This window comes from Homo sapiens, chromosome 2 (assembly GCF_000001405.40).
Source record: "Homo sapiens chromosome 2, GRCh38.p14 Primary Assembly".
NCBI lineage: Eukaryota > Metazoa > Chordata > Mammalia > Primates > Hominidae > Homo > Homo sapiens.
In genome coordinates this window covers 176,610,922-176,637,620 of record NC_000002.12, presented here as the reverse complement: position 1 = coordinate 176,637,620, position 26,699 = coordinate 176,610,922, and the positions used below count along the sequence as shown (strand labels likewise).

The 26,699-nt window shown below is 39.5% G+C and overlaps 1 long non-coding RNA gene across 4 annotated transcripts, besides 1 other annotated feature; it reads left to right on the top strand.

Annotated features, from left to right (window-relative positions):
- Positions 1-11: 11 nt before the first annotated feature.
- Positions 12-26,184, top strand: LINC01116 (long intergenic non-protein coding RNA 1116). Of its 4 annotated transcripts, none has more exons than NR_188022.1 (5): positions 12-159; positions 4,496-4,588; positions 7,189-7,309; positions 20,996-21,158; positions 23,841-26,184. It is a non-coding gene; the product is annotated as a long intergenic non-protein coding RNA 1116 (long non-coding RNA). The 4 variants fall into 4 exon arrangements; NR_188023.1 differs by lacking the exon at positions 20,996-21,158 and adding an exon at positions 14,885-15,004; NR_188021.1 differs by lacking the exon at positions 20,996-21,158.
- Positions 15,509-16,708: an enhancer, noted in NCBI's record as "P300/CBP strongly-dependent group 1 enhancer chr2:177485641-177486840 (GRCh37/hg19 assembly coordinates)". NCBI's record gives its function as "activates an origin of replication core promoter dependent on BRD2, BRD4, P300/CBP, MED14 and CDK7 cofactors, with strong dependence on P300/CBP, by STARR-seq in HCT116 cells {active_cell/tissue: HCT116}" and the evidence as "EXISTENCE:reporter gene assay evidence [ECO:0000049][PMID:35650434]".
- Positions 26,185-26,699: the final 515 nt, after the last annotated feature.

Genomic DNA, 26,699 nt, shown 5'->3' with positions numbered 1-26,699 from the left:
AGTCCGACTTCCTCTCCAAGCTGCTCCGAGGGGAATGGGGAATCGGCAGGAAATGACCCGAACTGCCAGCCTGCGCCTTTGCAGCCGGCCCTCGCTTTGCTGAAGACGAGCAGCTCCCACCAAAGTCTTGCCTCCCCTTACCCCGAAAGCCCCGCTCAGGTTTGTAAAGAGGGGTGCGAGATCTGAAAAGTATTTGTCTTCTAGGGAGAGAGATGTTGGTAAGGGGCCCAGAGAAAGACGGGTCCTTTTTAGCTCATCAACGCGCCACGTCTTGCTTTGCAGCTCCAAAATGATGCCAGCGCTGCTGTCCGAAGGGTCAATATTAATGCGTTAAGTGAAATGGGAAATAAATGGACAGTGGCACATTTCGTGGCATCATTTTTACAAGGGGATGTCGAAAGTTTTAAGCTGCATTTAAGAATTAGCCACATCTTGCCTGAAAGTTAATATTTTTTGATAAACTCGTTAATAAAGCCTAGAAGAGGTAAGTTAAAGTTAGTTACCACGTAGATCCTCCAGTCTCTTGTAGAGACTTGCGCAGGTTACTAGGATGAGGACGAGTTGTATTTTTAATTTTCTAGACTAAGTGCAAAGGCATTGAGTTTTGAGGTGGCAGGGTTAATGTTCAAGGGCAAATGGAACCGCCAAGGATCTCTTGAAAAGAATTCACTTACTATTAATACTTAAGCCTGAAATAATTATAATTAATTTACAGTGGGAATTATATGCCCATGTTTTAGACTTTTTTGTTATATTAGCTATATGAAAAGGGATGTTCTTTAGTGATTAAAAGAAAAAACCACCTGTTTATTGTCATTTGCAATTTGAAATAGCCGACAGCAGTAAGGCTAGCTACAAAAGCTAACAAGTCAACTTCAGTGTGGTTTGACATTTACTGTCAAAGCTTTGAGCTCTAAGAAAAACAGAATTTAAAATAATGTATATAAATAATAAAATTTCATTGTGACTCAATGTCCCTGCCCCTGGAGAAGGGACAGATGACACTCAGTGACTGGCTTGGAACCATTCCCCCTGCAGATGCATTTGCGGATACAGTGGGCCAGGGCTGCCTCTGAGTATGTACAGCAAGTGCTTATGGACTTACAGAAACAAATGTTTTACTATTTAGGATTTTCTCAATAGTTTACACTAAAAGTTTTGCATGTAGAAATGTGGGATAAATATTTCTTTGAAAGGAAAAGTTTCGAAAGGAAACTTTATACTTGTATTTTTTTGTGTGTTCACATTTCTAAGTTCATCTGTCTTTCAAAAAACAGATTTTCATAAATATTAAAATATTGCAAGTATTATTTTTAATTCTTTTGAGTGCCATGTTTGCTGTAAGTAGTTTTTTCTTTTAAGTAAGATTAATATAATCCTGTCTAAGGAGTTTAATAGAGAGAACAGGATTTCCAAGCCTATAAATGCAGTCTATATAAAATAGTGGGATCAAAGTTTTTTGTTAAGAAACTTGAGAATTTATACATTTTAAATGAAGATAGAAGCACGTTTTAAAAGTAGTTTTTCCACACCATTTCCCTCCCCCCAAAAGAATTCAGAAACTATATTCCATAGTCTAAAAATGGCATAATCAGATGTAAAAATTATTACCATAATATATAGTTTTCTCAAGATGGTGGATACTTTTTAATATATTATGAAGAGTTATATTCTCAGCCCACTGTGTGTTTGAGGGAATGGAAAAGACAAGATGTTTCTAAACATATTTTACTACTGAAATCCATAAGACTATTAAGCTGTGCAGGTAATTGTGTTCTAAGTGGTAGAAGTATTTTTCCAACTGCTTTTTAAACTTTGAAAAATTTATATGTATTTTAATTAGCACTTTTCTTTTAAAGGTTCCAAATATTTAGCTATATCAGCTATGTGATAAAAATTATTGGAATTTGTTCCCTACTACTTTCTGCATAAACAATTGAGAAATATTTTATACTAATCTTTTTATATACAGGGGATAAATTTGAACATGTGTCTTGTTGGTGTAATAAACAATCCAAATTCATTTCTTTCTTGAAAACTTGGCATCGATCTTCATCTTATTTTTTATGCACACAATTTGGACATGCCAGTTTGTAGGCAAGTTTTAAGACAGTGCAAGTTTTATGTGGAAGAATGTATATTAAGGAATGAATAGCTAATAGCCAAAATTAAATCAGGAGGTGTGGCATTCACTCCTTTGGATGATTATTTTAAAGATAGTTTTGCACTCAGGAAGGATTTTCTTATGCTCTGTATTTATGAATATCTAAATTATCCTGCCTTGCAACTTCAAAACTCAATAACCAAATACCAAATTTATGTATTTTCAGTGTGACTAAGGCTAGGAATATGAGAAGCAGATTGGTTTTATAAAAGAAAGCAAGCATTTACAATTGTATTTTAAAATATAATCCTAATTTCAGTTTCTGACAGAAATCTTGTGGTCAGCTCATCAGTTTTTCAGATCAGTTTCTAAATAGCATATAAAAACTACCTTTTCCACATCAGAAGTTCATATTTAGGTTTCCTTAACTGCAAAATCACTTTAAAAGAGAGTGTTTTATGTGAAGGGCCATTTCATGTGTTGGTTCCATCGATTACATATGAATGTATAAAAATCTTGTTTAAAGACCAGTAAAAGTGAGGAAATTCCAAGTCAGGCTGGCTAATTCCATTCATAATTCATCCCGAGTACCTGACTGAGGAAACTTGCAAACAGTTTATAGCTATACATACAAAATAAGTTGACGTGCTTTGTAAGCTGGAAGCAGAGTTAAGTTTGACCTCCCTGCTTGGAAGGTCTTAAATTAATAAAATTATGGAATATGGTTAAGCTTTTCAGTTTCCCAAGAATTTTCCAATATCGATGCTTTTTGGATTTTTGCATTTTGAAAATGTAAGCATGGAAGGACAACTTCTTTTGTGCTGAGATGAAGTTAGCTTTTACCCATCCATTTCCTTCCCACTTAACACATTTGTTCAGTAATTCTTCGAGTGCTGGGGGACAGAGGCCCTGCCTTGAGAAAAGCATATGCCATTTCTCTGCCCCCTTCAACCATCCCCACCCCCAGCCCTCCCTTTATTTCAAGCCAGTTGGACAAGTATTTAGCATTGACACATGTTTCAAACTGCTGCATCCACAGCCCTAGGTAGTTTTGGGGATTGGCAGGAAATCCATCTAGACTTTGCCTTCTGAGCTGGGTAAAACTACTAGGAAGTCCTATGCCTTGATATTGTGGCACTTCTAGGCTGTCTTTCCAATTTTAAGCAATCCATCAGTTGTTTTCTAAGACTGCACTGTAGACTGATGCCTTCTCTTAGTTTTGATGTTCAGAAGATTTTTTAAACATGTTCATAGATTTCTTAAACATTCTGAGTAATTGTAATTTTAAACTAGACTAATTTTAGGGTTGAAAACTGTCCCAGAGAGAGTCCTTACATAATAACTTCAATCTGATGTGAACTCGAATGACTTTTTAAAAATAAGATGTTGAAAATGTGGGTTTCTGGTGGAAAAGGCTGCCATTCACTTAGAGTGGGATCCTTAGGACCAGTTAATATCCACCAGACATGCTTCAATAAACTGGAACAAGCCTGATGTGGAATTACTGACTCCCCATTTTCCTGAATGTAGGTCATTTTGTGTCCTTACAATTTAACGTTTGAAGGGATTTCCTGTCTTTGAAGTGCAACAGTTTGTCACCTGCTTGGCTAGCTGCCTTAACAGTTGGGGCTCCTTTCCTACATTGAAAGACTTAGTGACTCCATGTTCCCGGGCTAGAGTTTCCCAGCTCACTGAATGCATGATACCTGCACCTCTGGGACTCTCCTCTACAAGTTAGTGCCTGCAGATCCCCTGTTCCAAGCTTCATTTCTCTAGGTCAAAGAGCCTAAAAGAAAAGCCCGGGCCGGGCGCGGTGGCTCACGCCTGTAATCCCAGCACTTTGGGAGGCCGAGGCGGGCGGATCACGAGGTCAGGAGATCGAGACCATCCCGGCTAAAACGGTGAAACCCCGTCTCTACTAAAAATACAAAAAATTAGCCGGGCGTAGTGGCGGGCGCCTGTAGTCCCAGCTCCTTGGGAGGCTGAGGCAGGAGAATGGCGTGAACCCGGGAGGCGGAGCTTGCAGTGAGCCGAGATCCCGCCACTGCACTCCAGCCTGGGCGACAGAGCGAGACTCCGTCTCAAAAAAAAAAAAAAAAAAAGAAAAGAAAAGCCCGGAGCCATACACTCACCTGGTTGAAGCCATAAAGAGGTAAGCTTTCATAACGTAGGCTATATATCAAAATTCATAGCTTTTTAGAACCGGAGTAACTAGTGCTCAGGCATTAGAGTCTCAGGCTAGAGCAAAACACAGCAACTGGTGCCAAATGTACGCTAGTGGCTGAAACCCATTTAAGTAATAAACAAACAAATGTCCTTTTAAGAATGTGCTATTATTTTTATTTAAGAATGCATATGACTTTATCGCCCCTTATGATGTGAATCTTACAGTTCAATATTTCAAGTGAAAATCTGCCTGTTCGAAAAGAAAATATTCACAAATGAGCAGTGTATTAGAAGACAACTGAATTGCTTCTAAGAATGGTGGGTATGCTAATTTTTACCAAATGATACAACATGTGCATGCCAAAGCTCTTTGTAAACTATAACACACCTCCAAATGAAAGCAATTTGCATATATTTTAATAAACTTGTCTGCCTTTACCACATCCACCAACTAATCCTTATGCTCCCACTGCAAAGACTCTCCTCTTTTTGGAGAGGAACACCAATTGTTTGAAAGCCTGGACTTTCAAACAATCTTAAGGCATCTTCATAGTATCCGTCCTTAAGAGTGCTTTCATCTTAATATTAGGTAAACATTTAGAAGATTATGAACTTTGGGGACTTTCTTTTCAGAGAACTGAACACGTGTATATAAAATTACAATATCCTGATAAGTGAGGGGAAGAAAATAAAAATAGGTGTCAATACAGTTATGGCTTAAGATCTTGATGAAATTGAGAAGAAAGTAGAAATCAAATGCATCAAAGGAAGAACGGTCAGACTGAATTCTGTTTGTAATTTTTTCAAAATGAACTGAAATGCAGTTTTTCTGACTATATGTTTTCTTTTATGGACATTAATCACTTTGATTCATTTAATTTCTCTGGAAGAAACTGTAGCTTTTGTAACAGAATCTGCTCTATTGGGTTCTGTATGGGCACCTACCGGTTTGCTTTCTAGCCAGTATCATGTGAATTGTCTAGAGAAAATGCCTTTAGCAAACACCTTCAAAAAGCATCCATTCCAAGGGCACACCTCTTGTGTCTCTCACAAAGCAAGTGGTACTATGTCTAGCCAAGGAGGCAGACTCAGATTCATGCATTTATCTCAGGTTTTTTGGTGACCTTCTTCCTAGATCCTGCTCTTGGCAACTGTAAGCCAAGTGTACATAAGTATTAGAATGGATTCTCTAGGTACCAAGTGAAAATTCTATCTCTAGTCACATGCTCCTGCACCTTTCATGTGGGAAAAATGTTCCAGTCTTTCCTTGATTACATCACAGATGATACGAGAACAGGACATGGGACAGGGAACTGCTAAACAGCTGGATATCTCTGGAAACTCAGAGCACTTAAAAACACTTTGAAGCCATGCAGCTGCTCTTTTTTTTTTTTTAAATTGTCTTCAGTGAAACTCCAAAACCCCAATAATATCTACCTTAAAAGCATCAGGAGTATTTTAATTGGGCAATAACCATCCATATTTTCCTTCTGATAAATTAAAATGAATTAAGAATGAAATTTTATGATGATTATAAAGTATATTACTGACCCAAGGGACAAGAACAATTATGAAAAATATGTCCTACATATTTGGCATGAATATGAATTTAGACTTTAAACCATTCATCTTAAATGCTCAAGCATCTTATTAAAGCTTATAAAATAATATTCACATAATAACAGAGTAACTTATAATCATGATTGATATTATATCATCAATATTGCAGCAGGCTTTGTGCCAAATACTGAAATTGACTTGGTCTTTGCCTGTTGGACTTAGAATAAAAATAAATACATTATTAAAAAGATGAAACATGGTAAAAGATTTTGTGCATTTGAGATTTTTTTTTCTTTCTCCAATTAAAATTATTCACCATGAGAACGAAAGGTGATTTTTGAAAAACCTGGAAAACCTAGTGAGTTGGAATTGTACTACTAAATGTTGGAAGATCTGATCAAAATTTAACTTTAATAGCCAGCAGCTGTTTGAGGACAAGTTCACCTTACATGAATGTGGGTGGTCATTTGAGGGTAACCCACCAAGCTTAGCCTAGCGGTGGCCAGGCCCTAAAATAGGAGTCATCTTGGAGAGCAAGAGCATTTCTGTATTTGAGTTAATGCTACCCACCAGCAATCAAGATCAATTAACTCTTGTAGTAAACTTTTTAAATGAATTGGAGATGACTACAGAAATTGCCAAAGACAATGTGGGCAAAAATGGATGGGCTAAGTGAAGGGGCTGCCTGTATCAGCATTTACTTAGGCCCAGCCCCACAAAGCCCTAGCAGTTGCCATTCAGACACCTGTATGTTAACATTAAGACCTTTAGAGCATATGTTTAACTGTGAGTATTTTCTTCCACATAGGTATTGGCACTTTTTAGCATGACCTACCTTTGTGTGTCATGCTAAAAAGCATATATGACTAATAGAACACACACATTTAACTTATTATGGGCCTGGGTTTCCCGGGTTTCAGCTTCAGTGTATGTCCCCTGGCAGGTTTCTTAACTGGTCTGAGCCTAAGTTTCCTCATTTATAAAACAAAGGCAGTAAGTGGTGCCTTTTTGCAATATTAAAATTAGTATTAAATGGCATAACGTTCACAAAATATCTGGAACAGTTTGCCATCAGTAAATATCTGCTACTGCAGTTGCAAGGGAAAAACAAGATTGAATCTTTGTTCTCAGTTTCTCATTATATAAAATTTTAGAGATTATTTAAAGAAAAGAGAGAGAGCATCTAAATGAACAGTTTCAATAGCATCTTGTTTATATTCAGAAATACAGCCCTGAACTCAAACTTGAAACTTCAGTGTTAGCCAACCTTCCCTCCTCCCATCACCACCTGAAGGAAAATATCTTTGTGTAGCACAAAAGAACTTAATTCTAATTCTTTTTTTTTCCTTTTAAAACAGGGTCTCACTCTGCCATCACCCAGGCTGGAGTGTGGTGGCACCATCATGGCTCACTGCAGCCTTGAACTCCTGAGCTCAAGTCATCCTCCCACCTCAGCCTTCCGAGTAGCTGGAACTGCAGGTGTGAGCCACCATGCCTGGCTGATTTGTCTTTTTAAATTTTTTATAGAGACCGAGTCTCAACTATATTGTCCAGGCTGGAAAAGAACTTCTTTCCCTCCAAGTGATAACCTTTTCCAGACAAGTCAGCTTAAAAACTGACCCAAAGGCCCTGAAGTACACAGTTTTCTTGGAGAAAGAAAAAAATAAGTGAAAAGGACTTGCTGACTTGCTAATTCATTTTGGGGCCTGTGGGTAACATCAGAATGGCAAAGCACTTGGGGCTTTTTTCTAATTTGTATTTTTTTAATCTTCTGAGAAATGACTTTTATATGCCAAGATTCATTCCATGATTAGTTTTTATGACCAAGTTATGAACGCTTTTGAATATGGGGACCTAGAATAGAAATGCTAACCTACCTGCAAGGAGAGCTCTGTGATTGGCATCCCCATCATGCTGTAACTGACACAAAATAAACTTAGGGTAATTGCCGCATAGTGTAACTTTAATGTGTGAGCATACTGTAACATCTGACAAGCTTCTTGATCTAGATCAGCAATGTGTAACCCATTCATTGTTGTCACTCTCAACAAGGCCTTATGGTCAAACATCATCACTCTCACTAAAGAGATAGTTTACTGAAATATACTGAGATTTTGAAACTGGAGTCAAGAGGTAGCACACTGTTTTATGTTGATCCATTTAATGGTCCTTGACAGCCAATAAAAAGACACTGGAAGAATACGTGAATGCAGTAATTGTTAATAGGTCTATTGATAATATTTTCAACACCAGGTAGGGAGGGAGACAGGGAGGAGGAGGAAAGGAAGGAAGGGAGGAAAGGAGGAAGGGAGGAAGGGAGGGAGGGAGGGAGGAAGGGAGGGAGGGAATGCTCTGACATCTTACTCCAGAAATAGAGCTGTTTTTATATATTTTACTCCATTATTTTGGATATCAATACTGACCATACTGAGGTCTGTGGTCATTTACACAGTTGGCCAAATTTCACTGAAGTTTGTTTTTCAGATTCTACTAGGTGTTTTCATGTGGCAGTTGCCTAATTTTTTACTATATTTAAGATTTGTCCTTACGTTTTGGATATTCTGCCTTTGTTCTTCACAAATGCTCAACTGTCATAGAGGGTCTTCTGATTTTTTTGGCATGGGGTCACTCAACTAAATTATAGCTAGATAATAACTCCAAAGCCTAGTTCTCCTGGCTTTCCCTGCTGACCTACTCATGTCCAGATGTTCTCATTTATAAAGTGTGAGTCTTTGAAGAGTCATTCTAAGATTGCAGACTGCCAGGTTATATTCAATACTCTGGACCTAAATTATTTGATACATTTTGGAAGAACCTGGTAGGTAGTGAGGAGGTGGGTGGGGTATGGAGTCTTTGTTAGTCAGGAAAGAACATTCTACTTGGGTTACTAAGGTATCAGATTATTCAGTAAGGTAGACCATTAAGAGCTAAGTTGCATGGTGTGCACCTTAGTGCTTTAGGAAATCAAAGGAAAGAAATACCAATGAGGACAGAAAGAGTTCTCCAGAGGAAGTAGACTGCAACTGTATTTGTGAAGGATGAGTGGCTGTGGATGGAAGAAAAGAACATTTTCAGTAAGGGGACATGGTGGGTGAAATGCTGAGGCAGGGATGGGCTCAGTGTTCCCAGAGCTGTAAGGACCCCAAGAAAATTTCACTTGTACTCTATGTGCTTACTATTTTTGTCTGTCCAGAGTGAATCAGTTCTCCTAGAGACAGATTTGACAGTCTGCACACATTGAGATCTGTTTCATTTTAACTTTTCTTCTTGCTTCTCTCAAATCTGGCTAAAATACTATTCTGGTCATGTCATTTTCCTGCTTCAGACCCCTCTATGGCTCCCTGTTGCTCAGTCTCCTGAAGATTTCATGCCAGATCTTTGCATCCACCCCGCTCCCCCTGCCACCTTGAGCTTCATTTAACATCTGGACCCTTCTCACTTCTTGCGTCCCAGCTCCAGCCACCTGGAACTGGCAACTGCCATACTCTCTCTTGCCTCTGGCCCCTCACATAAAGCTCAGGTGTTGGTTTAAACATCACTTCCACAGGAAGACCGGATTAGGCTCCACTGCTATTCCTTCTCACCCCTGCAGTGACCCCTTTCTTTTTTTTTTTTTTTTTTTTGTATAGACAGCCATTTTCAAGTTCAAACTCATGATCTTGGAGACACTTAGATTTTCTCACAAATTATTTGCACATTTTTAATAGACTATTTTTTAGGTAATTTTACATTCACAGCAAAGTTGAGGGGAAGGTACAGAGATCTCACATATGCCCCTGCCACTCCCCATGTTATCAACACCCCCCACCATCAACATCCCCTACCAGAGTGGTACATTTAAAACAATTCATGGACCTACATGAACATATCATTATCACTCAAAGTCCATAGTTTACATCAGGATTCATTCATAGTCTATGGGTTTGGACAAATGTATAATGACATATATCTACCATTATTGTATCATACACAGTAGTTCCACTGCTTAAAAAAAAAAAACTCCTCTATGCTCCATCTATTCATCACTCACTGTCCCTAAGCACTGGAAACCACTGGTCTTTTTACTATCTTCATGGTTTTGCCTTTTCCAGAATGTCATATAGTTGGAATTATTATAGTATATAGCCTTTTTAGATTGGCTTCATTCACTTAGTAAAATGCATTTAACTTTGTTCCACATCTTTTCATGGCTTGATAGCTATTTTTAGTACTGAATAAATATTTCATTGTCTGGATGTCCTCAAGCTTATTTATCCATTCACATACTGAAGGACACCATGGTTGCTTCCAAATTTCGGGAATTGTGGATAAAGCTGCCATAAACATCTGTATGCAGGTTTATGTGTGGACACATTTTAATTACTTAAATATCTGCCATCCTCATGAGACATAAACTCCTTGCAATGAAAAACCATATTTGACTTGATCAGTTGTGACCAGCAGAGAACCTGGACCCTATTCATTCATTCATTCATTCAAAAATTTATATTAAATACTTGTCATGTGCCCTAATGCAACAGAGAGCAAAACAAACAAAAATTCTGTCCTCACATTCTGCCTGGGAAGATCAACACTAAAATGAGCCAAAACTAAAAAATACAGTATGTATATATTTATAGTATAGCAATAAATATGTGGGAGAAATATAAAGCAAGGAAGGAGAACAGAAAGTGCCGGGTGCAAGGCGAACTTTAGACAGAGCGGCCAGGGGAGGCCTCACTAAGAGGATGACATTTGAACAAAGACCTGGAGGAAGCAAGGACGAGTCATGCAGATAGCTGGAGAGGAGCCATCAGACTGAAGAAACAGCAAGTGCAAAGTCCCTGTCCTGCCGTGTGCCCTGGCACGTTAAGCAGGTCACTTGGGCTGAAGCAGAAAGAGCAAGGAGAGGGGAGTTAGGAATTGAAGTCAGAATCCAGGGCAGGCTCCATCCTGGCCTCACTGTCCACCTTCCAGCAGATGTGGATCAGCAAGCGGGAATACGAGTCCAGCCCCTCCGCTGTCCGCTGCAAATGCCTCTAGGCAGACTGTTACTTAGTTGCGTTATACCCTTTCTTGCCAAAACCTATCTATGGGCAAAAAACAAGATTGGCAAGGCTTTTGTTTTGTTTTGTTTTTGGATTGACTCAGGATTTAAAAAAACTAGACCGATGAAGGTGACAGCAGTCAGTTGGAGTGAGCATCCCCCAAAGTTCTGCAATGTGTCTGAGGACTTTGATTAATCTTTTTTTAAGTCATTCCAAATATCGTGAGATGCATTGTTACAGGAAGACGCTTGCCATCCCCAAAACCACCCCACTTCTCTCTAAGGAGAATGGCCCAGTCCTCTCCCGAGTCCCACACATGGGAGGTGATAGCAGTGCTTTCAATGTAAATAAGGTAATGTAATTTTTTTAATCTTCAATTTAATACTTTTTTATTTTGAATGATCAGCCATCGTGGCCCCCCTTTTTTGTCTCCCAACTTGCGATGTATGAATGCTTTTGGTCTCCCTGGGAGGGGGTGGAGGTGTGGAGGCAGCCAGGGCTTACCTGTACACTGACTTAAGACCAGTTGAATAAAAGTGCATACCTTAAAAAAAGAAAAAAAGAATCAGGGGGAAAGGACAGTGGTCATCACTTAACCAAGTGGTTGGAGAAAGACTGTTGTTTGCTGCTATGTAATATGTGCACTTCAGACTGGAAGATCCAAATAGATGGATAGACTAGGTTGTGTCCTTTTCTGCTTTAAAGACTATTTTAAATGACAGTTTTAATGATTTAAAACAATAATGGTAACTCAACATGGAACAAAGCTCAGCTATCAAAAGTTCATTAAGTAAAAGGATCCCAACACAGTCAAGTCTTACCCAGGGATCCTATGCAAGATGCAGAACATATGCACATCTTTTATTATTATTATACTTTAAGTTCTAGGATACATGTGTAGAACGTGCAGGATTGTTACATAGCTGTACACGTGCCATGATGGTTTGCTGCACCTACCAACCCATCATCTACATTAGGTATTTCTCCTAATGCTATCCCTCCCCTAGCTCCCCACCCCCCGACAGGCCCCAGTGTGTGATATTCCCCTCCATGTGTCCATGTGTGCTCACTGTTCAACTCCCACTTATGATTGAGAACATGCGGTGTTTGGTTTTCTGTTCTTGTGTTGGTTTGCTGAGCATGATGGTTTCCAGCTTCATCCATGTCCCTGCAGAGGACATGAACTCATTCTTTTTTATGGCTGGATAATATTCCATGGTGTATATGTGCCACATTTTCTTTATCCAGTCTATGATTGATGAGTATTTGGGTTGGTTCCAAGTCTTTGCTGTTGTGAACTGTGCTGCAATAAACATACACATGCATGTGTCTTCATAGTAGAATGACTTATAATCCTTTGGGTATATGCCCAGTAATGGGATTGCTGGGTCAAATGGTATTTCTGGATCTAGATCCTTGAGGAATTGCCACACTGTCTGCCACAATGGTTGAACTAATTTACACTCCCACCAACAGTGTAAAAGTGTTCCTGTTTCTCCACATCCTCTCCAGCATTTGTTTTCCTGACTTTTTAATGATCCATTCTAACTGGCATGAGATGGTATCTCATCGTGGTTTTGATTTGTATTTCTCTAATGATCAGTGATGATGAGCTTTTTTTCATGTGTTTGTTGGCCGCATAAATGTCTTCTTTTGAGAAGTGTCTGTTCATATCCTTTGCCCACTTTTTGATGGGATTGTTTGTTTTTTTTCTTGTAAATTTGTTTAAGTTCTTTGTAGATTCTGGATATTAGCCCTTTGTCAGATGGACAGATTGCAAAAATTTTCTCCCATTCTGTGGCTTGCCTGTTCATTCTGATGATAGTTTCTTTTGCTGTGCAGAAGCTCTTTAGTTTAATTAGATCCCATTTGTCAATTTTGGCTTTTGTTCCCATTGCTTTTGGTATTTTAGTCATGAAGTCTTTGCCCATGCCTGTGTCCTGAATGGTATTGCCTAGGTTTTCTTCTAGGGTTTTTATGGTTTTAGGTCTTACGTTTAAGTCCTTAATCCATCTTGAGTTAATTTTTGTGTAAGGTGTAAGGAAGAGGTCTAGTTTCAGTTTTCTGATATGGCTAGCCAGTTTTCACACAATAAAAAGTGATAAAGGGGATATCACCACTGATCCCACAGAAATAAAAACTACCATCAGTGAATACTATAAACACCTCTATGCAAATAAACTAGAAAATCTAGAAGAAATGGATAAATTCCTGGGCACATACACACTCCCAAGACTAAACCAGGAAGAAGCCGAATCCCTGAATAAACCAATAACAAGTTCTGAAATTGAGGCAGTAATTAATAGCCTACCAACCAAAAAAGCCCAGGACCAGATGGATTCACAGCTGAATTCTACCAGAGGTACAAAGAGGAGCTGGTACCATTCCTTCTGAAACTATTCCAAACAATAGAAAAGGAGGGACTCCTCCCTAACTCATTTTATGAGGCCAGCATCATCCTGATACCAAAGCCGGCAGAGACACACAAAAAGAGAATTTTAGACCAATATCTCTGATGAACATTGATAATAAAATACTGGCAAACCAAATCCAGCAGCACATCAAAAAGCTTATCCACCACGAACAAGTCAACTTCATCCCTGGGATGCAAGGCTGGTTCAACATAGGCAAATCAGTTAACGTAATCCATCACATAAACAGAACCAATGACAAAAACCACATGATTATCTCAATAGATGCAGTAAAGACCTTCCATAAAATTCAACACCCCTTCATGCTAAAAACTCTCAATAAACTACGTATTAATGGAATGTTTCTCAAAATAATAAGAGCTATTTATGACAAACCCATAGCCAATATCATACTGAATGGGCAAAAGCTGGAAGCATTCCCTTTGAAAACTGGCTCAAGACAAGCATGCCCTTTCTCACCACTCCTATTCAACATAGTATTGGAAGTTCTGGCCAGGACAATTAGGCAGGAGAAGGAAATAAAGGGTATTCAATTAGGAAGAGAGGAAAGGGTATTCAAATAGGAAGAGAGGAAGTCAAATTGTCTCTGTTTGCAGATGACATGAGTGTATATTTAGAAAACCCCATTGTCTCAGCCCAAAATGTCCTTAAGTTGATAAGCAATTTCAGCAAAGTCTCAAGATACAAAATCAATTTGCAAAAATCACAAGCATTCCTGTACACCAATAATAGACAAACAGAGAGCTAAATCATGAGTGAACTCTCATTCACAATTGCTACAAAGAGAATAAAATACCTAGGAATACAACTTACAAGGGATGTGAAGGACCTCTTCAAGGAGAACCACAAACCACTGCTCAAGGAAATAAGAGAAGAAACAAAGAAATGGCAAAACATTCCATGCTCATGGATAGGAAGAATCAATATCATGAAAATGGCCATACTGCCCAAAGTAATTTATAGATTCAATGCTATCCCCATTAAGCTACCATTGACTTACTTCACAGAATTAGAAAAAAACTACTTTAAATTTCATATGGAACCAAAAACGAGCCCATATAGCCAAGACAATCCTAAGCAAAAAGAACAAAGCTGGAGGCATCACACTACCTGACTTCAGACTATACTACAAGGCTACAGTAGCTAAAACAGCTTGGAACTGGTACCAAAACAGATATATAGACCTATGGAACAGAACAGAGGCCTCAGAAATAACGCCACACATCTCCAACCATCTGATCTTTGACAAACCTGACAAAAACAAGCAATGGGGAAAGGATTCCCTGTTTAACATATGCACATCTTATGCAAAAGGCAGATCTTATGCACATCTTACGGAATATGCTTATGCACATTACTATAGTAAGCAAGAGATCCATGCACGGAAGTGAAAGAACAAGAAAGGAGGTAACTTCAGCTACCAAAGATGTTTTAGAATCCACCTTCACCCTAAATGATTATCCAGTTATGACGACATAGAAAATTGTGGTTTTCTTATTGTTGTTTTCATCTAGCCATTCAGAGGCCCTATTCTTGTCCACTACTAGTATAACAAGCAATTAAAGTAACTATTTCTTTTTATTTATTTTTTTGAGAGAGTCTCACTCTGTGTCCCAGGCTGGAGTGTCGTGGCACCATCTCAGCTCACTACAACTTCTGCCTCCCAGGTTCAAGTGATTCTCCTGTCTCAGCCTCCCGAGTAGCTGGGATTACAGGTATGCACCACCACACACAGCTAATTTTTGTATTCTTAGTAGAAACAGGATTTCACCATGTTGGCCAGGCTAGTCTCGAACTCCTGACCTCAAGTGATCCGTCCACCTTGGCCTCCGGAAGTGCTGGGATTACAGGCATGAGCCACCACGCCGGCCTAAAGTAACTATTTCATCAGGTGATACTTAGCACCATACAAAATTCCTCCATCCACAGGGAAAGTATTAGATGCACCAGAAAGAGGATGAATGCAGAAGGAATTTCTTTCTTGAAATACCTCTTCATAGCTACAGACTCCAGAGTTCATAACTTGTGTGGGTACCACAAAGCCCTCTGTACAGGACATCTGCTGAGGCTAACTCTGTGGAATGTCACTCAGCACGGCTGATGGGCTCCCCCAGCCACCCTCAATTCATCAGCACAGATCACGCACACCAGCTTTCCTTCTCTCAACACTTGGCTCCCAGCCCTTCACAGAACCCATGAATGGAGCCGCCTAAGGAAAAAGATACACAAGAAATAAGGGTTAGACAAATACCACATCTATTTCCAAAACCAGTAAACTTACCATGAGAACACCTTTCCAGTGTAGGGCTTAGTTTGAATTCCATCATAACAAAGAAAAACAAATCTTCATTATGTTTTTCCAGAATCTAGGCCACATCAAAATTCTCTGATTGTCATAGCACATCACATGGCATAGACAGCATAAATGCACTAGAGAAATAAATGTTAACATACAAAACACAAGAGGGCAATGTGAAAAGATAGTATCTGTGAGGGAGGTGTTGATGCCTCTGTTATTAACTGCAGCTCAAAGCATTGTTCATGAGGCACTGACTGCCTCTCAACACAGTGTTATCTCCTTGGCATGTGCTTGAAGTTTTGGGTCTTTCTTGCTTTCCTCTAATCTCCACCTTCTGTCGTTGTTAGTGAGCCTCAGTTTGGACTGAAATCCTGTGGCACGCAGAGCTACATGATCAAAGCCTTGTGTAGGCATTTGGGTCAGTGCCAGCAAAGTTCAGGTTGTACTTCAAACGAGTCCTCAGAGTGCCTCACAGCCAAGGGCAAGGGTTCACTGGGTTTGATCTTGAGCTGCCCACATTTAGGGAGTCTTCGGCCCCTTCAGTTGATAAACCCTGCTTGGCAGAGCTCTGCTTTAATTAACGTGGCCCTTGGGTCGATTCGATTTCCTATGTGTCAGCACCTGACTGGGTGTAACCTTATCTTTGCACATCATACTCATGATGGATCTGAAACAGTACAGGTGATGTTTGTCTTTGACCCAACAGCTGGATTACATCCCAGTTTCACAGCCACAGAAGAAAAGTCTGAAATCTCAACTCCTTATTGACATTTTATGGAGCAGCCACATTGGGTGAGATACTAATATGACTGGACACGGTGATTCCAGTAAAAAGATGATTACTTAAAAGTTTATTTCTCTACTAAGTGTAAGTGTTAGAGGCAATAGAAATAAATAAGTGATACATCTTATGGTTCTTGGGGGTGACATGGAGGTATCTCTCCGAAGCTTGGAAGTTAGGGCAAGTAGTTGTGCTCTAAGCATTAAGTTACTTAAATACATGCATAATTGAAGGAGATAGAATGTTTCTTTACCTTTTGCAAAATGTGATTTCAGAAGAAGCAGGAGTACAGCCCAGTGTCCTAAGGAGCATGAGTCCTACAGTGCTTCTCAAATCTGTTTGGGACAATCTTCCATAGTCACAGTGCCGATTTCACTTTGTTTACATTTGCATTTCTTAAACATGTTTTAAACCATAGAACTCTATCACATGACCTCTTGCTTTTTTAAAAATGTCATACTCATTAGTGTACTAAGGAGCTAATTTACAAGGCATACTTACTCTGGGAATATGGCCTATCCCAGGCTAAGGACAAAAGCTCACCTTGGATGATCTGCACTGGAACACAAAATAAGTAATCATATAGGCAGAGTTTTGTGACTTGTGTAGAATTGTCCTAGAGAGATGGTGATGGAAGTGAAAGGGGGAATCACTCCAGTCACCAGAGATCATGTCCGTGTGCATGTATGTGTGTTTGTGTGTGTACACATGTGTGTATGACTTGAAGTGTCATCTCATCTGTCCTTACCGTAGTCTGTATGGAACATCCTCTGATACTATTCGCTCTCCCTTTGCAGATTTCTGATTAAAAATGTGATATGAGGAAGGTGTTCCATGGATAGGAGCAAGGTATTCTGGACCCCAGAAAGGGATATCCTCCACTATGGATAGTGAAAATTTTCTTTTACTTATTAGTTTCTTGTGAATTAACCAGATACAGTATGACCATCTCTGAATACCCTGAAAAATACCTGGGTCCAAATAGTGGCTTTGCTACTCACTAGATGTATACTCTCAGGCTGGGCTCCATTTCTTCATTTGTGTATTGGGGATACTACGATCTTGTGGGATTTCCATAAGTATTAAACAAAATATGATTAGCGCCTTTCACATCATAAGCATTCCACAAATCTATTTCATAGTTTTGTTGTTTCTATTATGATTCCTTATTGCAAAGATCAACAGACATTAGCACAATTTATAATGTGTTAGAGCCCTTCAAACATGTTCCTCAACGGCCATTGTTAACAACATGTGCATTGCTGTCTTTGATTCACCATTGCTAAGGCAAAATGAGTGATGATATATGTGAAAAATGAAAGAAAAGGTCTATAGATAGGCAAGATGCCTTTTTCCTTTGACTTTCAGCTCCTGGAAGACAGGGGCCTTGTATCTCTATACCCGGAGTGCCTAGTAATGGGCAGGTATTTCTGCTGAATGAATGGATATGCTAATTATCAACTAGAAGGTTCTGAAAAAGAGAGTTGTCGTTGGAGGTGCTGTGTAGATCCAATAATAATAGAAACCAGCTCCTGGAAGGGAATGCCAGCTTGGCAGAGCTTGCGAGTGAGAAGCAAGTCTTTAATAAGCTATTGGTGTTCATAGCTAGAGAGAAAGGGGAATTTAGATTGGGAGACGGGATGGCTTCAAGGATTCCTGATCAGGTTTTTATTCTGACGAAAGCTTGCTGGAAAATGTCTCAGCTCTCTGATATTGTGAATGCCTGTCTGCAAGAGGCGCAGGAAAATCAGGCGAAATCGGTTAGGGTGTTCTGCTCAGTAAGGCTGAATGTGATGGATGGCTCGGTGTGCTGTTTATCTACTGCAGGTTGGTATTTCACCTCTGTTTTCATTAGACTGATGGTAAGGTAATAATTCTTTCCTCTGGCTGAAAAATCTGTCTTCAGCCATTTGTTGATCTTCTTGAACGGGAAGTTCAGGTGCACAGAAGTCACCCTAAAGGAGATTTTGAATGAAAACTTAAATAATGCTGGTCGGCATCCACGGAGCTCTCCGGCAGCACAGGCCTCCGCTAGACTGGCTGTGATTATTAGGTGTGCAGCGTCACATTTGCCCAAGGACAGCAAGCCTACGGAATGATACAGGGTAACCACCGCTGTAGGAAACAAAGCGTGAACATCACATTTGATTTCTTTGGAAACACTCAAGCTTATATTGTAAATTAAATTAAAGCAATGCAGTCTTTATGAGGTGTTTCCATGTAGCACTGTGTTACGGTGGAAAATGCCCCAGCCCGGGCCTCGGAAGTCTCCACCATGATACTCCCTCTGGGCAAATCTCTTAATGTCTCTGAGCCTCCATTTCTTCATCTCTCAAGAGATAATAATAATGTATGCACTGGTTTTTAATAGAAAGCTCTTATCAAGATGATATAGCTTTGAGTTTTTTCCCAAGGCGAGGAGGAACAAACAGAACAATGACAGAGGCTAGTGGCTTTAGTAAGCTGCAGCTCTATAGCTCCTCCCTCTTTCCAACCTCTCTGATGGAGGGCACAGAAAGGAAGATGACAGAGTTGGCTCATTAAGCATTGATCAAGGAAGGACTCTCCCCACACCCGACAGAACAGATCCATCCAAGCAGTTTTCTGAGTTTGTGAGCTGATGGGCAAAGTGATAGAGCTTCCACTCACAGGGCTCGTCAGTTGCTCCATCGGGAAGGGGACTGCTGAAAGGTTTCATCCACCCGAGACAGAGTGGCCAGTAGAAAAGACAGAATCTTGTAACTGCTGGTTCTAACTCGTGGGACTTCCATTAAGGATGAGGGTCCCTTTCTTCCTATAAACCTGTGAGGACAGCCCATCCATTACTTCTATACTGTGGGTTACCTGCATAAGAAACGGTTCTCATTTAATGTAACGAGGTGCCCATATGTCCTGATTTGTTCCTGACAGTCCTATTTATGCTTTTTGTCCCAGAATAAATATTACAGCACTACCATTAACTCTCAGAGTCTCTGGGTTTGGTCAGTAAATTATATGACACAAACGCATTAATTTTATAATAGGCACCTTCTCAATTCCCAGCAAATGCTTCATATGTATCACCACTAACCTCTCTACCATCGGTTTGGTTGATTTGTGATATACAAATACAAATACATTTTTACTTTATATTTTTCACATAGCAATTTCTAGTCATCAATATCATTTTCACAGCACTCCTGAGTTGAGGGAGAGTAATTACAAAGAATTGTGATTAATAAAATGATGAAGGATTTTCTTTCAAATACATTTATGAGAATAAACTAACATAACTTTTGTATAGTGTCAATTAAATGCAAACTTACTGGCCAAGCACAGTGGCTCAAGCCTGTAACCCCAACACTTTGGGAGGCCAAGGTGAGAAGATCACTTGAGACTAGGAGTTGAAGACCAACCTGGGCAACATGATGAAACACTATCTCTACAAAAACTAAAAATACAAAAAATTAGCTGGGCATGGTGGCACACACCTGTAGTCCCAGCTACCTGGGAGGCTGAGGTGGGAGGATCAACTGAGCCCTGGAGGTCAAGGCTGCAGTGAGCCGTGAGCATGCCACTGCACTCCAGCCTGGATGACAGAGTGAGACCCTGTCTCAAAAAAAAAAAAAAAAGTAAACTACTGTAATTTATAATTCTGAAATAACAATGTCAACTAAAGCAGTATTATTACTATTTTTAGAGACAGAGGCTTGCTCTGTCAACCAGGCTGGAGTGCAGTGGCATGATCATAGCTCACTGCAGCCTGAGACTCCTGGGCTCAAGCCATCCTTCTGCCTCAGCCTCCAGAGTAACTGGGACTACAGGCATGCATCACTATACCCAGCTAATTCTTTTAACTTTTGTTTGTTTGTTTGTTTTTTGTAGAGAGGGACTCTCTCTATGTTGCACAGGCTGGTCTTGAACTTCTGGTCTTAAGTGATCCTTCCACCTTGGCCTCCCAAATTGCTGGGATTATAGGCAAAAGTCACCATGCCCAGCCAATAATTATTTTTATTTATTTGTTCTTCATTTAAGCAATCATTCAACAAATGATTGTTTGTGAAATGTTTCCAGGTACTGTGCTACATAAGAGAAATTTAGACAGAGACTTTTACCATAGGAATTTATAGGAAATGGGTTTAAGAGACAAGTAGATTATAATGAGACAAGATTATAATATGGCTAGAGTAGCACAGAACAGGAGCACCTAACCCAGCCAGCTTCATGCCACCAGACAGCCAGGAATGGAGGGATGTGGTAGTGAGGCATGGCTTCCAAGTGGCGGTGATGTGGAGCTGTCTTGAAGGACATGTAGGAATTAGTCAAGGGAGAAATATAAGAAAAATACTTTATAGTGTCTTTTCCAATATTAGAAAATAAAATAATTAAGACAGATGTTAAAGCCAGGAAACATTCTCTTCCTTGAATATTCTCTTCCTGTGTGATACAGTTTGGATGTTTGTCCCCTCCAAATCTCATGTTGATATTGATTGCCAGTGTTGGGGGTGACTGGACCATGGAGGCGGATCCCTCATGAATGGTTTTGCATCATCCCCTTGATGATAAGTGAGTTCCCACCCAGTTAATTCATGAGACATCTGGTTGTTTAAAAGTCTAGGACCTCCCCGTCTCTCTTTCTTGCTCTAGCTCTCACCATGTGACGTGCCTGCTTCCACTTCTCCTTCTACCATGATTGGAAGATTCCTGAGGCCTTCACCAGAAGCCTAGCAGATGCTGGTGCCATGCTTGTACAGCCTGCAGAAACATGAGCCAATTAAAGCCCTTTCGTTTATAAATTACCCAGCATCAGGTATTTTTTCATAGCAACGCAAATGGCCTAATACACTGTGCATTTGGCAGGAAGCTGTTGCTGGTGGTCTGGGGGACTGAATGATTGAATAAGCTTTCAATTTAGGAAGCTCTTGAGAGAATTCTGTAATAGCACTTTCCAGTAGAAATATGTGATTCACGAATAGAATTTTAAATGTTCTAGTAGCTCCGTAATAACATTACAAAAAAAAAGGTGAAATTCATTTTAATAATCTTATATTTCACCCAGTATTTCCAAAATATTATCATTTCAACGTGGAATCAATATAAAAATAATGAGCTATTTTGCAATTTTGTTTTTATATGAAGTCTTCAAAATCTGGTGTGTATTTTACATGTATATGTTTCAATTTGTACCAGCAAATTGCAGAGCTCAATAGCCACATGTGGCTAGTGGCTCTTATATTGAGGAGTCCAGTTTTATAACATCAACATTAAATCTCACCATGGTCACCAATGAAAATGAACCCAGAGTATTCTGGCTGGATTTATTCATGATAACTAATCCCTCACTTACATAAACAGTGTATGCTTCAAGAAGGGAGAACAAAGATTCTGTAAAGATCTATGTCCTAGGCATTTCTCTTATATTTGACAGCCAATAGTGTTTATGACAAGCCCTATACTTCATAAGCAAGCTATGACACAGTATTGTAAATACAAATGTTTTAACTGTGGGTATAGTAAAAGCATTTTGGGCTTCCCAGATTGGCTAGATTCCACCATCACTGGGGCCTGTTTGTGATTATGCATCTATGATACAACTCAGAACCAATTATTCCATCATAAAAGGCATGGTCAAGGCAAACTCTCACACATAATGTCACCTGTGATCATTTTTTTCTTACTGAAATAGCTGCAGTGCTGTTGTATACAAGCGTATTTCTTTTAATGAGATAAGACAAAATGATAGCATTGAGATGAGAGACTTGTAATGACTTCCCACTGGGAGCAATGATCTCTGGTTCTTAGTTTCTCCACCTGTGAAATGGCAGTAATAATTTTGGCCCTAAGGTCTTAGTACCATGAGGATATGAACAAATACTTTTCATTTGTCTGATTCTCAGTTTAGCACAGGACTTATGATTGCAAAAGTATTTCTTCAATCTCCAGAAGTGTTTGTGAGAGAGAGGGCCATCCAGTGAATTACTTTTTCTTTATTTTCTTTAGTGGGTCACTCACAGTTTGTGACAAGAGCATTAGCAATTGCATAGCTGGTGCCAGGGGCACTGTGGAGTCATTGAGGAAGTCACTGTTAGCTACAACCCGTATGAAAGCCAATTACTCTCTAGAGAGGCAACATGCCATCCTGAGAGAATACAGGGCTGGTGCCTCAAAGTTTTTCCACAGACAAGGTACGCAGCCTGGGGCAAACTATTTTAACTGCAGCTTTCTCAGCTGTGAAAAATGAGAATGGCAATCCTTACTGCTTTGGAAGAGAGTTGTGTTTATTAATTAGTTTGTATTTCAAAGTGCTTCACAACTGGAAAGTTTCACTATTGGATTAAGGAAAAATTTCCTTTCATTTTATCCCTCTCCACATTAGGATGAAAAGAAACTGTGCTTGCTGAGGCTGGGAGAAAAACGGAGGGGATTCAGGCAAAAAAGCTAACAAACCTGACTTCCATGGTAGTGGCTCATTTCCCCGGCTGTAAGATGGCACCCATTAAAGGGAGCTTTGTAAATTAGGTATCTTAAAGGGCAGCCAAACCTGCCATCTGAAGAATTACTTTTGTTTTAGACTTAATTTTTATGATTGCTTCAAGAAAAAAAGGGAAAGAAAATGAGCCAAATCACACTGTGATAGGGGATTTGAAAATGAGAAGTAGCATAAACAATATCATGTTTTCTTGCCTGAAAAATAGGAGGTTGGATCTGCTTATATGCCAGCCTTTAGACTCTCAAATCTCCTTGTTCTATTTCTAGCTTATCTCGGTAGGTCCACCAGTATTTTCCTACCAAGTGTTCTACTATCATTAATTGTTTAAAAAAAGAGAAGAGAGAGAATTCATTTCTATTCTTCTTGTGGCTGTCCCTTAGTTTTTCATTTCTCCTTCCATACTGGGGAATACAGGTGCCTGGCCAGGGACTGCACTTCCAAGCCTCCTTTGCATCTAGCTGGGTCATGTGACAAGTTCTCGCCAATGGAAAATAAGCAGAAGTAGAGTTTCTAAGTGGCTGTGCCTTTTCCAGTATCTCTGGGGACTGGAAATGATTCTGAAGCCATAGGGAAAAGCCAAGCCTCAAGAGAGAAGGCTGAATCCTTTATCACCACATGGAGGAAAACCTCCCACAGATAAGGAACATCTGCTTTGGATTGTTATCTGAGTGAGAGAGAAACTTCTGTTGTGTGAAGTCGCTGGTATTTTGAAGTTTATTGTTAATAGCAGCTAATGTTACCCTAACACATATACTGCCAAAGCTGACACTCTTCCCCAAAGTTTCCATTATAGTTGTCTTTTCCATGTCAGAACTTGAAATTCCTTTAGGACTTTCGTGACATTCAATATAGTGCAGGACATGTAAGGTATTTAATAAATGCATATGGAATTGAGGAAGGAAGGTATAAAGGAAGGGAGGGAGGAGGGAGGGAGGAAGGAGTGGGTGAATTAATGTGTATGCATTTAATGTGACTCACTTATTTTCTTTTATGCTTTTAAAGCCAACATGTCCATTTCCACCCTCCACCCTCATTCTCACATTAAGCTATGGAGAGGGGGAATATTTGTACTTTTTTCATGGTCTTCCAAAGGATGGACATACTACTGCCACGAGAGAAATTGCTGGTCAGAGAGAAGCAATTCCTTAGAGAAAGCAACCCACATATCATCACCCAAGAGAGCTGAACCATTGCCAACATCTCCATCAGGAACTTGGAAGAGTTTTCTGTCTTCCCAACACAATAAAACTGGAGACACGAGCATGCAGAGCTCCAGCCAGCACAATTACATAAAGCCAAAGCACATTATCACTTGCAGGCTGCAGGATTTATGGCCAACTATGATGGAAAATACAGAGATACTTTACTTGTCTGAATTCAACACTCAAAAAAGATAGTATGTATTATATTAATGATAGAGAAAAGTTGTATATATTGTACTTTTTCTAATGAAAACCTTAGTAAACAGAGCAGAAACAGATGCCAGCATCTTAGAGAAGAAAGAAAAATGGAAAAGATTGCCAGTTTGCTCCTCTTCAGACAATATGCAATTGCTGTTCTTGTTGAAAAATTCCTTTCAAATGCATTGAGGCAGCATTTCTATTTTGGTGGTTTTCTGCATTTGAGTTGCTGCTTCTAACTTGAGTGGAACAGAGAAGTTTGTATTCTCTATGGGTGTCTGCTGTTCCAAGTATGAAGCAGTGAAGCTAAAATCACTTTACTTCTAGAAACCTGTGATTTCCATTTGCCATGAGGTTAGCACTTCCTCTGGCAGTGCCTTTGCCACGAACTGTCATAGAACCATGCTGTTTATCTAGCATAGCATTCTTCTTTATCATAGCTGCTTACCACTTGTTTCTGCTCTGGAATGCACCCTGTACGTGCAGGTTATGTGGTGTCCTGGCCCAGTGCTGGCACACGGTGAGCACTCACAAAAATATTGAAGAGCTCTCTTCAGGTTGTAATTTTATGTTACCAATGTTTTTACACAGTTGGTTTGCATTATGAGTACACAGTGAGAAGGTAAACCAGTGTGCTGTTTGTCTATCGTTTCCAAATTTTGAATTATTTAAATACATGTTAGTGAAATCACTGTTTATCAGAACCAAAATTGCAATCTTAAAACTTCTGCAAGATAGAAAAGATTGTTTAACAAAGGAAGGAAAATATTACAAAAACAGATTTCTCTCTTAATTTTGTCAGTGCTTGGACTTGGTCCCCAAATCTTAAAAGTGAATTTGTTTCCAGAACACCTGAAACAGAGACCACATTTTTATGTTTGCCTTTTTGCAGTGAAGTTTACATTAGGGAGCTATATTTTCCTTATATTTATTTTTAAATCATTTGGGCTTTCCAATAAAATAGCATTCTCATTTTCTTCCCTCTTCCCAGATTAATGCATTTATTATTTTAATGCATGAAGGGGTCCACGTGGCGCTATGGTTGGTGGCTGGGATGCTCTGGAGTGGTGCGCTTGGAAAACAATGTGTTATTTGCACTTGAGAAAATACTTTGTTGGCTAAGTGTCTAGGCACTGAAACAGTAACAGTTCATCAAAAGACAGTTATCCCAGATACGCTTCCAAGAGTGGCAATCAGTTTTCCTAAAGAGTCAAAGAAAAGAGTGAGAATTGTGGGAAGTGGGAGACTAGAAGGACAGACTCATTTGGAAACAGGAAGTGGTTCAAGGAACTTAGGATTTGGAATATAGGAAAAGAAATGGGGAAACATACCCATGCCTTCTCTTCTCTGTAGACATCCAATTTGAACCTACTCCAGATTAGTAGGAAGTAAAATCATTATCTGATGTTCTGTGGCCACATGGAAAATACATTGGTAGTTGCAACCAGACTAGAGTCAACATTGAGAAACCAATAGAACCACTAACTTGGGCTGGTGAGGCACAGCTACTGGTCAAAACCTGCCCAGGAGGCCCAGTACCACTCACAGTCAGGATCGGGGTCATGGTAGGGGAAGGTCAGCTAGCTTACTGCAGCCCATCTCTGATGGGGAGGTGAGGACTTCCAGCCCTGGGCTGCTCATTCACCTCCCCTCTGGAGCAGTAAACAGGGAAGTAGCAAGAAGCTAAGCTCCTTTTGTTAGGCATTGTTAATTCCTCCAAGGTGACCATTGATGTATTTTTTATTCAGTAACTTAGCATATATGTGTGTGCACAATTAATAGTTATATATAATAAAAGTGAATATATTAAAATTTAAAAAAATAAATTATGATCATTGCACAATTCTGTGACTATACTACAAACCATTAAAATGTATACTTTAAATGGGTGTTTTTTATGTTATTTATGTGATTATGTCTCAATAAAGATGTTTTAAAACCATAAATGTTTTTATCCATTATTTTCCCTAAAAAATCATGCATTGGGTTTTGTTATTATCATTGACTTCCTTCCTTCTGTGTTTTTATATTGCCTTCTTCAAGTCTTGGTGATCCCAGGATATACTCCAGAACTGATAAATGTTGGCTAATGAATTGTAGCTTTATTCCAGTTTTAGCACTGCCAGGCCAGGCTATATTGTCTGTGTTATGGGGTCAGTATGAAAAATTTTACTAAAAAATGAAACTGACCCAGAGAGAGGCTCTTCATGAGCTCCTGCACTTCCTCCTACTCACCTCACCTCCCAGGGTGCTCCTTGCCTTCTCTGGGTATTGATGCTTATTGTGATCTTGTGTACCATAATTTGAAAGGTATTCTCTGATACCTTCCACTACTACACTCTGTGGTTACAGAAGAGATTGGTGGACATTGTTATGAATGTAAAAATCGGTGGTTATTTTTTAACCTGTCTTCAAAGCTGATTCATAAACAATAATTCAGCCTTACAATGTCTTGTGTGAG